Below are 14,803 nucleotides of genomic sequence, written 5' to 3'. Positions count from 1 at the left end.
CGTGGTGGCACGCACCTGTAATCCCAGCTACTCGGGAGGCTGAGGCAGGAGAATCACGTGAACCTGGAAGGCAGAGGTTGCAGTGAGCCGAGATCATGCCACTGCACTCCAGCCTGGGCAACAGAGCAAGACTCCGACTCAAAAAAAAAAAAAAAAAAAGATGTTATTTGATGTTAATATATTAATGTTTTACATGCATATGAGAGTCTCATGGAAAAGGAAGTAAAAACCCAAAGAAGCAGTGAGGCCTGAGAGCTTATATGCCATTTTAACAATGAACAACAAATTTGTGGAGAAGTGACAAGACAAAGAAAAAGAGCTCGGGTTTCTAGGGGTGATAAATATATGCAGGAAAGTAAGTGGAAGATAACAGCTATTTTAGTGAGGTTTGATTATGCAGATTCAAGCTAGTGCCATCTCTAGCGATAAGAGTCATCTCTTTCTGGTGTGGGAGAGGGGTTGGGGGAAACCTTCACAAAGAGAAAATTTATTCCCTGCTTTTAGACAGAAAAGAGAAGGGTAGAGAGCTTTTCCTGTATGTGCTGTTTCTCAATTGCCTTCAGCTCAGAATCATCCTCACACCAAAGTGGCATATTTTGAGCTAGCATGTTCTGATCCCCTTCAGAAACAACTCATCAACTCAACTCATGATTCTTTTTGTTTTTTTTTTTTTTTTTTTTTTTGAGATGGAGTTTCGCTCTTGTTGCCCATGCTGGAGTGCAATGGCGTGATCTCAGCTCACCGAAACCCCTGCCTCCTGGGTTCAAGCACTTCTCCTGTCTCAGCCTCCTGAGTAGCTGGGATTACAGGCATGCACCACTGCGCTTGGCTAATTTTGCATTTTTAGTAGAGATGGGGTTTTTCCACTTTAGTCAGGCTGGTCTCAAACTCCCAACCTCAGGTGATCCGCCCGCCTCGGCCTCCCAAAGTGCTGGGATTACAGGCATGAGCCACCGTGCCTAGCCCATGATTCTTGAATCTGGTAAATAAAGAGAAGGAATCAACCATTTAACTTGTCCTTTTGTATTTGATACTTAAGTGCACCACTCAGATAGGCCCCTTCACAACTGAGATGCTCGTTCAGTCCCCAGGAGCCTCCACTGCTAAAGTTCCTCAGCTGAGCCACTCCCAGGAATTGTTATTGGGTAAGGGGAGCTGTCTTACTCAAGATTACATCCTCAACCCAAGGTCAGCCCACAGTGATTAGTCAATGCATGGGCGGGGTGGAGGGTATAAAGGCACAGCCTTAACTTTGAGGAGCTATGCCGGCTTTAAAGCTCACTGTAGGATTGTCTGGGTTCTTTAAAATTCCATCACAGTTCAACTTCTTTCTCACTCTGTCCAGCACTTTCCTCACTTTCTTACAGGTGTTGTTCCCTAGGGCTTCCTGCTTTAAACCTGTGACATGCAATTTTCATCTCAGAGTCTGTTCTCCTAGAAACTGAGCTATGATACTTTCCCACATGAAATACACCTCAGGGTAACAAAATAGTTGATGAGGGAAGGTTCTCTCAAGAATAAATAGAGACTACTCTGGGCACACTGCCTATGGGTTATCCCTGCTCCACAAGGAGCAATACCAAAAAGGAAAATAATAATTAAAAAATAAATTTGTAATGAAAAAAGAATCAATAATGGCAGGGCACGGTGGCTCATGCCTGTAATCCCAGCACTTTGGAGGCCAAGGCGGGCGGCTCAGTTGAGGCCAGGAGTTCAAGACCAGCCTGGCAACATAGCAAAACCCTGTCTCTACTAAACACACACACACACACACACGAAGGAAAAAGAATAAATAGAGAAACAACGATATAAGAATAACACCACTGGCCGGGTGCGGTGGCTGGCTCACACCTGTAATCCCAGCACTTTTGGAGGCCGAGGTGGGTGGATCATGAGGTCAGGAGATCAAGACCATACTGGCTAACACAGTGAAACCCCGTCTCTACTAAAACTATAAAAAATTGGCTAGCAGTGGTGACATGCACCTGTAGTCCCAGCTACTCAGGAGGCTGAGGCAGGAGAATCATTTGAACCCAGGAGGCAGAGGTTGCAGTGAGCCGAGATCATGCCACTGCATTCCAGCCTGGGCGACAGAGAGAGACTCCGTGTCAAAAAAAAAAAAAAAGAATAAGACCACTTTGCAAATTTCTAATTACATACTCTAGGCAATGATCATCAGTGGCTGCTAATATCACAAAAAGAGAGACCACTAGATATTATATGCCTCCTGATGGAAGTACACACCACCACCTGAAGGTATTCTTGCAAAAAATTTTAAACTGAATCAGACTAAATCTCTAAATCCAGCTAACAGTTTATAAGAGATACAAATACGCAGAGGATACAATCAGAAAAATCCAGAATGTAAGAGACTCAACTGGACAACCGAATTTCTTCAACATATAGCTTGCAAGGGAAAAGAGAGAGAGAGGAAGGAAGGAGAAACTTATGAACAAATTACAAACAAAGGGACTTTATTTGGTTTGTGATTTTTTTAAAAAGCAAAAACTTTTAAAATTTTTTTAGACAATCAGAAACTTGAACCCTCATTAGGTATTTGATAACATTAAAGAAATACCAGCCACACACGGTTCAAGCGATTCTCCTGCCTCAGCCTCCCAAGTAGCTGGGATTACAGGGGCCTGCCACCACATCCGGCTAATTTTGTATTTTTAGTAGAGATGGGGTTTCACCATGTTGGCCAGGCTGGTGTTGAACTCCTGGCCTCAGGTGATCCGCCTGCCTTGGCCTCCCAAAGTGCTGAGATTACAGGCGTGAGCCACCGTGCCTGGCCAACAATTAATACTTTTTTAGTGCAATTATTTCTCAAATATTTTTACTTGCTAAATCTGGCAACCCTACTTCAAATTCTTTTTCTTGCTTTTGCAGTTAATCATTTTTTGTTTTTTTTTTTTTGTCACAATTTGACTGCCTGTCCTAAAATGTTATCCATATGGTACTTCATTAAGGCAGCTAATATTTAAAACCTCTCATGTTAAGAAGCCGAGGGAGATTTCTAGTATTGTCACCTTAGAGATGGCAGTTCTGGCACAGGTATTTAATTTTGAGATCTCAAAATACCAGCAGAAAAATTGTCCCCTAGAGAATGAGGAATCTGGAAAGTGTTTTTGACAGATCTACCACATTCTTATACCACAAATGCTGCCACGTTGTTCTCTCTCCTCCTCCCCTTTCCTTTGCAATAACACAAACTGTATTAATCAGCCAGATAATGGCAGTGGTGAGTGGCGTTGATGAGAGCCTCCACTGTACTGACTGTGCTTACCCTCCCAGAGGTATGGCTTGAGGTGGGAAAAATGGAAACCAGAAAGTGGTCCCTTTAAAGATGACACATCTCTTCTATGTCTCCACAAAAGGAGACTCATATTTGTATTGTTTCAAAGCACTGTACTTTCCTACAGTTTGCTACTCAGAAAAGCTGGGAGTGGTTGAAGAGGTTAAACAACTGGCAAAAGGTTACACAACTTCGCTGGATCTTATATTTCTGATTTGCATCCCAGGATTCTTGGCACCATAATCTGGATAAGGTTGAGCTTTGGTAAAGTTAGAGAATCTATACACTGGAGTTCCTATGAACTGATCACAGTTCCAGTCCCAACTTTTAATCCTTCTAAGTAAGGGGCTCACTATGTACATAGCCTCAGACTCTCGGCTCATTCAATCACTCAGTACAGATTTCATGAACGTTGGACTAGCTATGAAGAAACAGTGATGGACAAAACAACAAAAGTCCTGTCTTCAGAGAGCTCACAGTTTAGGGGGAAACAGATAATTAAATATGTAATGACGATGAAATCTGATGAGTGTGGTGATAGGTGTCAGAACATACACTAAGAGTCTCTAACCTCTATGTTGAGGAAGGCTCCCAGAGAAAGCAATGTTTAAGCCTAGACCTAAAAGATGAATAAGAATGAGATAGATAGGTGTAGAGAGAGCGAGCAGGCAGAAGAGTGTTCCAGGTGGTGGGAATGGTGTGCAAAGGCCTGGAGGAGAACAGAGGTAATGCGGGGATGGGATGAGACAGAGCAGAACTAAAATGCAGGGATGCATGAGACAGGTCAGTAATTTTGTGCCTCTTCAAACTAATCTTTTTGACATATCTTTTTTTTTTTTTTTTGAGATGGAGTCTCGCTCTAACACCCAGGCTGGAGAGCAGAGGCACGATCTCCGCTCACTGCAAGCTCTGCCTCCCGCCTCCCAGGTTCAAGCCATTCTCCTGCCTCAGCCTCCCGAGTAGCTGGGACTACAGGCACCCGCCACCACGCCTGGCTAATTTTTTGTATTTTTTTAGTAGAGACGGGGTTTCACCGTATTAGCCAGGATGGTCTCGATCTCCTGACCTTGTGATCCACCCGCCTCAGCCTCCCAAAGTGCTGGGATTACAGGTGTGAGCCACCGCGCCCGGCTCTTTTTGACATATCTTAAAAATATTTATTTAAAGGAAAGGTTTATTAAGTCTGGAGAAGATGTGAAATGTAGTGGAGAGAATGCTGGTGGCTCCCCAGTGACTCCTTTGTGATCCTAAACAGGGACATTTGCATGCCTTGGACCCAAATCTGCAAAGCAAATCAGCCAAACAAAAGGCCTGCACCTAAGACCTGACCTCCTTAGACGCAGTTAAATGACCATTGATTGTGACTGAAGCAACTCCATGGGGTGCTTGTCCCCTCCTCCCAGTCACCACCCTAAGAAGCTTCTTCTTCTTTTTTTTTTTTTCTGAGACGGAGTCTCACACTGTCACCCGGGCTGGAGTGCAGTGGCGCAATCTCGGCTCACTGCAACCTCTGCCTCCCAGGTTCAAGTGATTCTCCTTGCCTTAACCTCCCAAGTAGCTGAGATTACAGGCACCCGCTACCACCCCTGGCTAATTTTTTTGTATTTTTAGTAGAGATGGGGTTTCACTATGTTGGCCAGGCTGGTCTTGAACCCCTGACCTCGTGATCTGCCCACTTCGGCTTCCCAAAGTGTTGGGATTACAGGTGTGAGCCACCTCACCTTGTCGAAGCTTCATTATTTCTATCTCATTGTATTTATATTTTTTGTTTTAGCACTCTTCCTGACTGGCTGGCTTTCCCAAATTCTGACTTGGTGGGAGGGAGATATGAGGCTGAGGAACTGGCAGGGGCCAAGAGTGTGAAGTTCACACATAGCTCACTCACTGGGCTGAGTCTTCAGGCCCATGCACAAGAGCACATCTTGACTAATTGCTGATGTGGGAGCAGCAATGTGGAAGAGAGCTGCAGTCCTCGAACCTCCTTAACGCCTTACAGATTCCTTGGTCCCATTCCTGACATAATTAAAATCAGAATTTCTAGGGATGGAATTTTGGAATTTGTATTTTCAAATTTCTTTCTGGGTGAATCTGGTATTAAACAACTCTGGGGCTCACCAGACTCTGTTGTAAAAAGTACACATTTCAGAGCCACTAAAACCTCAATTCAAACTCTGGCTCCAGCATTTACCTGTGTGATCTTGGCAAGTGGTTTTTTGTTTCATTTTGTTTTGTTTTGCCTGAGCTTCAGTTACTCCAGTTGGAGGAGGAGGAGGAGGAGCAGGAGGAGGAGCAGGAGGAGGAGCAGGAGAAGAAGGAGGAGGAGAAGGAGGAGGAGGAGAAGAAGGAGGAGGAGGAGGGAGGGGGAGGAGGAGGAGGGAGGGGGAGGAGGAGGAAGGGGAGGAAGAAATAACCTGGCAAATGGTTTTTTGTTTCATTTTGTTTTGTTTTACCTGAGCTTCAGTTACTCCAGTTGGAGGAGGAGCGGGGGGGGGGGGGGGGGGCGGGGCGGGGGCGGGGAGGAAGATATAACACGGCTAACTTCATATTATTAAAGGGTTAAATGAGATCATTAATAGCTAGTACTTGACCCAGTAGTCTATAATAGTAGTAGTCCCTATCTTACCTGACCTCACCTTCCCAGGATGCCAAGCTCAATTCTGGTACTAGCTCCCCCTGCAGCCCTACTTGCCCTCTGCTTTTATTTCCCAAGAACTTGTATTTTAACCTTTTTTCATCTTATAAGCAGCTTCTGTGGGGAATGACAGAGACAGTGGTCACTCCCTGCTGAGAAGAGGGACTGAAATTGAAGCCATGGGAAAAGGAGTCTGTTTAAACATTTCCCACCCCTGTCTGAGGCCCCACCTCAGGCACAAAAATCTTCCCAAGGAGCTGGTCATCCCTCCTAGTGAATGGATAAAGTTGCTGTAGGCTGATGAGGGTCAATTTGACTTTTTCTTGAACACCAGGCTCAGCACACAGAAATAGTTCTAAGGTAGTGGTGGCACATACACTGTGTTCCCCTAATGATTGGGGGGATCACTTCCAAGCACATCCATTCTTTTATTTATTTATTTTTTTATTTTTTATTTTGAGACGGAGTCTCGCTCTGTCGCCCAGGCTGGAGTGCAGTGGCGCGATCTCGGCTCACTGCAAGCTCCGCCTCCCAGGTTCATTCCATTCTCCTGCCTCAGCCTCCCGAGTAGCTGGGACTACAGGCGCCGACCACCACGCCCGGCTAATTTTTTTGTACTTTTAGTAGAGACGGGGTTTCACCGTGTTAACCAGGATGGTCTCCATCTCCTGACCTCGGGATCCGCCCACCTCTGCTTTCCAAAGAGCTGGGATTACAGGCGTGAGCTACCGCACCGTGCCTACATCCATTCCTTACTAAGAAAAAAACTGTCTATGGAAACAAACATCAGAATTCCCTTTAAACGCTGGGTGCAGTGGCTCACGCCTGTAATCCCAGCATTTTGGTAGGCTGAGGCGGGTGGATTGCCTGAGCTCAGGAGTTCATGACCAGCCTGGACAACGTGGTGAAACCCCGTCTCTACTAAAAATACAAAAATTAGCTGGGCATGGTGGTGCATGCCTGTAATCCCAGCTACTTGGGAGCCTGAGGCAGGAGAATCACTTGAACCTGGGAGGCAGAGGTTGCAGTGAGCCGAGATCATGCCCCTGCACTCTAGCCTGGGCGACAGAGTGAGACTCCATCTCAAAAAAAAAAAAAATTAAAAATTAAAAAAAAAAATTCCCTTTAACATAAGTACTGGGATTGCTTAGCACATTTTTGTCAGAATCGAGAGTATTCAAACTTGTTTCCATTTTCCTCTAAATATCCTTATAAACTAAGCTAAAGCACATTGTTTTATTAAAAACAACATCTTTTCTGATGGTAAAATTGGTATATGTTCATTAAACACAATTCAGAAAATAACAAATATACTATGTAAAGAAGAAAAGTTAAACCATCTCTAATCACCACCATGAAATAATAAAATTAACATTTTGATTTATTTCTTTCAAGTATTTTATATGCTTGAAAGAATATTTAGTAAAATTTGCATAATTCAATAGACTGTTTCTAAATCATGTTTTTTCACAATATTATATTGTGAATCTTTAGTATATTGCTAACAATTTTCAAAACTAAATTTTTATTGTTAACAATACTCTAGCATATAAATATTCTATAATTTATTTCCCTGTTGTTGGACTTTTGAGGTTTTTTTTTTTTCATTTTTTCTGCCATAAATATTAAGAGCTAAGTTTCTTGTTTACACTTTATCTTTGGGAAAACTGACTTAAAGAGGTTAAAGGGCTTGCTGCAGGGCTGGAACTGGAATACAAATTCTATACTACAGTCTAATTCCCTTTTTCATAGACCACAAATATTAATTTGTTGTAACACTATTAATCAATGCTTAGAGCATATTTGCCACTTCAATACATTTTATTTCCTGGCCTTTATTTTATTTATTTATTTATTTATTTATTCATTTTTTTGAGATGGAGTCTCGCTCTGTCACCCAGGCAGGAGTGCAGTGGCATGATCTCGATTCACTGCAACCTCCGCCTCCTGGGTTCAAGCAATTCTCCTGTCTCAGCCTCCCACATAGCTGGGATTACAGGCTGCACCACCATCCGCAGCTAATTTTTGTATTTTTAGTAGAGATGGGGTTTCACCATGTTGGCCAGTCTGGTCTCAAACTCCTGATCTCAGGTGATCCGCCCACCTCAGCCTCCCAAAGTGCTGGGATTACAGTCATGAGCCACCGCACCTGGCCCTGGCCTTTATTTTAAAAGTAAGCATTGGCTGGGTGCAGTGGCTCATGCCTGTAATCCCAACACTTTGGGAGGCAGAGGCAGGTGGGTCACCTGAGGTCAGGCATTTGAGACTAGCCTGACCAACATGGTGAAACCCCATCTCTACTAAAAAAAAAAAAAAAAAACACTACAAAAATAAGGCAGGCATAGTGGCATGTACCTGTAATCTCAGCTACCTGGGAGGCTGAGGCAGGAAAATCGCTTGAACCTGGGAGGCAGAGGTTGCAGTGAGCTGAGACTGCACCACTGCACTCCAGCCTGGGCAACAAGAGTGAAACTCTGTCTCAAATAAATAAATAAATAATAAAAGCAAGCATTACCAACAATGTGGGAGAATATGAGTGGAGTATGTATGTGGTCCCAAAGTTGGGGTAAGTGGGAGTGAGGAACCCCTGTAACTCCCATCTTCATTTCTGCCTCTTCTCATTGCACCAACTTCCCCAACTGAAACACCTTATACTGATAATATCCCTTCCTGGTTTGATTCATAAAACAAAATAAAGTTTCTCCAGTGCTTGGCATATTCATCAAGACATCAGCCCCAGCATTTACATTTTAGTGCTTCCCTTTCTTTACTTGATTTCCAGTCTCTCTCTCTCCCTCTGTCTCTCTCTCTCTCTCTCTCTCTCTCTCTCTCTCTCTGTCTGTCTGTCTCTCTCTCACACACACACACGCAGGCTGATTGGTCTTTGATTTTCAGTAGAAATTGTTGGTATTTGTAGCTGTGCTTGATCACATAGGTGAAAAGATATACTTACAGAATAAGAACTACCCTATGACCGTCCTTCTTTCATGTTGCTTAAAGCTATACTTCAAAGGAATACAGCACCACTTTAAGGAAAGACTCAGGCCTGAGGACCTAGAAGCCCAAGTTCCAAGTTTTGGGGCTGAGCTCTGTTACTAACTTCAGTCTGACCTTGGACAAGTTTCTTGTCTCTGTGATCACATTCCATCTTTATTAGAGGATTTTGAGGATTCCTTCTATTTCTGACATGAAATAATTTTAAACAGACTTGTTCCTTAGATGCTCTTTTAGAACATCTCTGAACCTTCCCAATTTAAAAAAATAACTTGTTTGAGGTGGCTTCTCTCTGTTCATCAAACATCTTTGCTTCCATTCCTTATATAGGTCCAACCCAAGAGACAACACCTGTAGGAGGGCCTCGTCCCACAGTTTTCTTGTCACCAGCACTGCTTTTGATCCAGTCAACTTGACTGAGATTTCTTTCCTGGGTTCTGTGCTTCAGAGGACCCTACTCTGGATCCCCTCTGGTACCCACTCTCCCCACAGAGTAATAGGTCTGTATGGCCAAGGGGATTGTTCCACCTGGAACCTCCTTCCCTCTTCTAAATAAAGTTCCCCTTACTCAGGAAACCCATAGTTCCCTTGCTGTGAAGTCTGAACCTGCTTCCAGGGGTTGCTTGAGCTTCTGCCCTTCTCTTGTCTTTTTAGGGGTGGATTATACTGCCCAAAATGTGGTCAAGGGGCAGCTGTGTATGGTGTTTGGAGTTGTGGATAGAGCTTGGATATGTGGGGTAGAGTCTGAGCACTTACAAGTCTCTGTGAGGTCAGTATGGACAGAAGGGTGGGTGTTCCATTGGAGCAGGGTGAGAAATATCCATTGGCACATTCCCATTAAGCTCACAAATGTTGAGAATGAGCCTACTTGTGAGATACACAATTTTGCAAAGAGAGATATAGAGCAGTCAAGAAAAGTGGCTCTTCAAAGGTTCTATGAGTTACCTGTGGCCACATAGGAGGACCCCTCTGTCTGAAGCGAGTGCGCAGTAAAAAGAGGATGACTCATCTTTGGCTCTAGCTAGATTAAAATTCTGGACACAAAGGTAACTTATAATTTCTTATCTGGACTTCATACTGCCAAGCTAGAGTCATGATGTTATGCACACAAAGTATGATATTATATTAACAGTAATAATAATGACAGTAGATTATTGAGCCTAACCTCATTCCCATGCTGACATTATGTCTCTCTGTTTGTGTTGGTCCATTTTCTTTCAACTGCCCCTGCCCTCCACCATAGAAGTCATTAGGTAAAGCAAAGCAATCTCTTTAGGTTGATTTAGCCAACCTTCAATTAACTAGTAAATCTGAGACCAGAGTTTTAATACATGGCCTATTAAAAAGCATGTAAATAACGAACCTCATTTAGCCATTTCTTACATCACAGTGTTTTTCAGGATTAAAAGTGGTGATTTTATAAATTTGGTTCTGTAAATTATATTATTATATTTCAAAAGGATCAAGATGTAAAAGTATGTGCTCTTTAAAATGGTTTCAGTTGTAGTTCTATTCAAGTCAAAAAATTAGCTTGGGAAAATACTACCCAGTCTACAAATTAGCTGGATGACTCTGAACAAGTTATTTACCCTCTTGAGAACTCAATTTCTTTAACTGTAAAATGAGGGGGTAGGATTAGATGGTCTCCAAGGTTCCTTCCAAATCTAAGGTTTTATGATTGTCTATGATTTTATAAGCAGTAATGCCTAGAGCTATTTAGCAGAGAAAATTGCAGAATGTAAAAACCTTTAGGTCTTAGCAAAGAAATGAAAAGACCATTCATCAGGAAATGGGGTCAAGTTAGAGAGCAAAGAGTGTAGTTGCCTGAGCAACTCAAGTTTGAAAAGAAATTATTACAGAGCTAAACACAGGCCTTTGCAGGCCAAGGAGAAAGAAAAGAAACAAGAGCTTCATATTTTCCTGATGCTGTCCTGGAAGAGAAATAATAAGATAGCTTTGCTTCACATTCTGGAACAAGGTGAGAAATAAAAGAAACAAACAAATACATAAAATACCCAACTGTAAGTTGGCTACAGTTGTATCTGCTGTAGTGTCTTTTCTTAGTATATTAATCATAGTCTAAAAGTTTGAAAGCTAACTGTCCATGGGTTCATCAGTGGCTAGCCACAGCATTCTAATTTTCCCTCCCTCTTTCAGCATCGAAATTCCCCATCTTAGCTGGTTTGGGCTGCTGTAATAAAATACCATAAACTGGGTGGCTTATAAACAAAAGAAATGTATTTCTCACAATTCTAAAGGCAGTGAAGTCCAAGATCAACATACCAGCAGGTGCTGTTTCTGGTGAGCACCTGCTTTCTTGTTCATAGAAGGTGCCATCTGGCTAAGTCTTCACATGGTAGAAGACGCAAGGACTTGTCTCTCTTGGGCCTCTTTTATAAGGACACTAAACTCTGCCCTCATGTCCTAATAGCTTCCCAAACGCTCCACTTCCCAACACCATCACCTTGAAGGTTGGGATTTCAACATATGAATGGAGAAGGGGGTAACACAAACATTTAGACCATAATATACTCCCTAACTCCTACAATTTGGATTCTGTGCTGAAGCTGAGGTTGAAAGCCAGTGTCAACCCCTCAAATCTTTTTAGTGATAGTATGAGGAAATGAGACATGCAAGATTCTTGTGAAATTAAATCATGATGTACAGCCAACCAAACCACGTGTTTAACTCAAGGCTATAGTCAAAATACTCCAGAGAATGGGGATGCCCCCCAGATGGAGTGACCCATTAGTCCTCCTTTAGAGGAAGTCAGGAACCATACGGTTTGCCTTAGAAGTCTAACCATATTTAGAGAAAAAAATTTCACACCTGACTCCACGTGCTTTGTAATTGATAAAAATACAGGAGATTGCGGGGATGGTGTAGGAAGAAAATAGTAATAAAAGATATGTAAGGCCGGGTGCGGTGGCTCACGCCTGTAATCCCAGCACTTTGGGAGACCAAGGCAGGTGGATCACAAGGTCAGGAGTTTGAGACCAGCCTGACCAACATTGTGAAACACTGTCTCTACTAAAAATACAACAATTAGCCTGGTGTGGTGGCCGGCAACTATAATCCCTGCTACTCGGCAGGTTGAGGCAGAAGAATCTCTTGAACCCAAGAGACAGAGGTTGCAGTGAGCCGAGATCGTGCCACTGCACTCCAGCCTGGGTGATAGAGTGAGACTCCGTCTCAAAAAAAAAAAAAAAATGTAAAATCTCAGCCGGGCGCAGTGGCTCATGCCTGTAATCCCAGCGCTTTGGGAGGATGAGGCGGGCAGATCACGAGGTCACAAGATCAAGACCATCCTGGCCAACATGGTGAAACCCCATCTCTACTAAAAATTCAAAAATTAGCTGGGCGTGGTGGCACGCACCTGTAATCCCAGCTACTCAGGAGTCTGAGGCAGGAGAATCGCTTGAACCCAGGAGGCAGAGGTTGCAGTGAGCTGAGATTGTGCCACTGCACTCCAGACTGGCAACAGAGCGAGATTCCGTATCAAATAAAAATAAAAAGAAAAAAGAAAAAAAAGATATGTAAAATCTCAGATCTGGATAATCAGCTCTTCAATAAATAAAATGTGGCATTATTTCTGACAGTTATAATATTAACATTTGAAAATATAGGATATAAATATATACTGTCAATGAATTTTCTCTTATTTTCTATTCCTAAAATTTTCTCTTATGTTCAGCAAATCAAACATTTCCTGAGAATCCAGATAATTTTCTTTTTTTTTTTTTGAGATGGAGCCTTGCTCTGTCACCCAGGCTGAAGTGCAATGGTGTGATCTTGGCTCACTGCAACTTCTGCCTCCCGGGTTCAAGCGATTCTTGGGTCTCAGCCTCCCATATTACAGGCACCTGCCACCACACCTGGCTAATTTTTGTATTTTTAGTAGAGACGGGGTTTTGCCATGTTGCCCAGCCTGGTCTTGAGCTCCTGACCTCAGGTGACCCACCCACCTTGGCCTCCCAAAGTGCTGGGATTACAGGCATGAGCCACATGTCCGGCCAAAATCCCGATAATTTTCATTGCACTTGTGTTTCCTAATCAATTTCTTTCTTTCTTTCTTCTTTTTGACAGAGTTTCTCTCTTGATGCCCAGACTGGAGTGCAGTGGTGCAATCTTGCCTCATTGCAACCTCCGCCTCCTAGGTTCAAGTGATTCTCCTGCCTCAGCCTCCCAAGTAGCTGGGATTACAGGCATTCACTACCATGCCCGGCTAATTTTGTATTTTTAGTAGAGATGGGGTTTCACCATGTTGGTCAGGCTGGTCTCCTGACCTCAAGTGATCCACTCACCTCGGCCTCCCAAAGTGCTGGGATTACAGGTGCGGGCCACCGTGCCCAGCCAGAATCCAGATAATTTTCACTGTACTTATGTTTGTTAATCAATTTCTTCTATGTGTTTTTACAAATCTTCTCTTCTTATTAGAATGTTTTGTTGAACACAAAGAATGTGCTAACAACTGTCTGGGAATCAGACACCTAGTATCTGTCCATTTTTTTTTAACGTAAATAAAATATCACCTCTTCTTTATCTTTTTTTTGTTTGCTTTTTTGAGACAGTTTTGCTCTGGCTCTGTTGCCCAGGCTGGAGTGCAATGGTGCGATCTTGGCTCATTGCAACCTCTGCCTTCAGGATTCAAGCGATTCTTCTGCCTCAGCCTCCCAAATAGCTGGGATTACAGGCATGTGCCACCACTCCTGTCTGTTTTTTTTGTATTTAGTAGAGACGGAGTTTCACCATCTTGGTCAGACTGGTCTCTAACTCCTGACCTCAAATGATCCACCTGCCTCGGCTTCCCAAAGTGCTAAGATTACAGGCGTGAGCCACTGCACCGGGCCCCATAAAATATCACTTCTTATGAGAAGTTTAGACATCCAGAACAGACCACTGAAATATAGGGCTTCTGTGAGCACAAAGAAGCCTCTACAGTGGAGGGGCTGGTGAAGAGGAGGGATTTTCACATGATATTTTGAGCAACTTCAGCTATATTTGAGTTTGGGAAGGTTTCAGAAACAACTGCTTCTTTAGGAGACTAGGAAGAACAACCACAATGCCTATGTCATTGTATATTATTTTATTTAACAAACACCCACACAGCACTTATTATGTGCCAGACCCTGTAAGTGATTTACAAATATTAATTCTTGATTTTTCATAACAATCCTACACAGCAGGTGATATCATCTTCATTATCATTATCTTCATTTGAACAGATGGAGCAACTGAGGCACAGAGAGGTTAAGTTCTTAGCTTAAGGCCCACAGCTAACAAGCAACAGATCCCAGGATTTCTGGCTGCCGAGTCCACACTCCTAACCACCACGCTGTACTCCTCTAAGAGCAGGTCATATGTAAGGAGGGATTGGGGGTTAGGAAATGTCTAGATGCCAGGTTCCTTTAGCATGTCACTTCTCCATTGTGGAGACATTGCTTTTAACTTCTGCCAACTTCTACCTCTTCAGCCTGGGGATTCTTTCTCAGGTCTGTGCCTCTCAGATGTTCTTAGGAGAAAAGATATGATCCAATGAAGATCAAAGAAATTTAAAAGTAATCACCAGAATGACCTAGCTTAAGACATTGAGACTGGTGAGCTAAAGGTGAAAATAGCAAGATATTTATGGTTTTGATTGGGTCTGAACCCCCTTGGTTACTTTCATAATTTGCATAAAAATTAATAAGATGCTTTTGTTGCTGTATTTATAGGTTAACATGAATGACTTCTTTTTGGTTTAAGTGAAAAAAGATATTCGTTCCTGCAAAATGTAACCTTAGCCAAGGACCTTAGAGAGTAAGTTTCTGTAAGTACTAATAGAAAGTAGCACAAGAGCTGGGCACGGTGGCTCACGCCTGTAATCCCAGCACTTTGGGAGG

The 14,803-nt window shown here is 43.0% G+C and overlaps 2 long non-coding RNA genes across 4 annotated transcripts in view, besides 1 other annotated feature; one reads left to right on the top strand and one right to left on the bottom strand.

Moving 5' to 3' along the window:
* Window positions 4,356-5,048: an enhancer, noted in NCBI's record as "OCT4-NANOG-H3K27ac hESC enhancer chr15:35312331-35313023 (GRCh37/hg19 assembly coordinates)". NCBI's record gives its function as "activates a minimal SCP1, AML or CMV promoter by ChIP-STARR-seq in naive H9 embryonic stem cells {active_cell/tissue: H9 hESC(naive)}" and the evidence as "EXISTENCE:reporter gene assay evidence [ECO:0000049][PMID:30033119]".
* The window catches only part of LOC105370763 (uncharacterized), a 13,440-nt gene continuing 7,024 nt past the window's right edge, over window positions 8,388-14,803 (top strand). Inside the window, exons 1-2 of the long non-coding RNA XR_932098.3 lie at window positions 8,388-9,967; window positions 14,636-14,720. This is a non-coding gene — a long non-coding RNA (uncharacterized LOC105370763). The remainder of the gene's footprint in view (window positions 9,968-14,635; window positions 14,721-14,803) is intronic.
* The window catches only part of LOC105370764 (uncharacterized), a 22,830-nt gene continuing 22,017 nt past the window's right edge, over window positions 13,991-14,803 (bottom strand). For all 3 annotated transcript variants that reach the window (NR_188212.1, NR_188213.1, NR_188214.1), the window contains one exon: window positions 13,991-14,433. This is a non-coding gene — a long non-coding RNA (uncharacterized LOC105370764). The remainder of the gene's footprint in view (window positions 14,434-14,803) is intronic.

The sequence above is a fragment of the Homo sapiens genome, chromosome 15 (genome assembly GCF_000001405.40).
Source record: "Homo sapiens chromosome 15, GRCh38.p14 Primary Assembly".
Lineage (NCBI taxonomy): Eukaryota > Metazoa > Chordata > Mammalia > Primates > Hominidae > Homo > Homo sapiens.
This window is presented reverse-complemented; position numbering and strand designations above follow the sequence as displayed.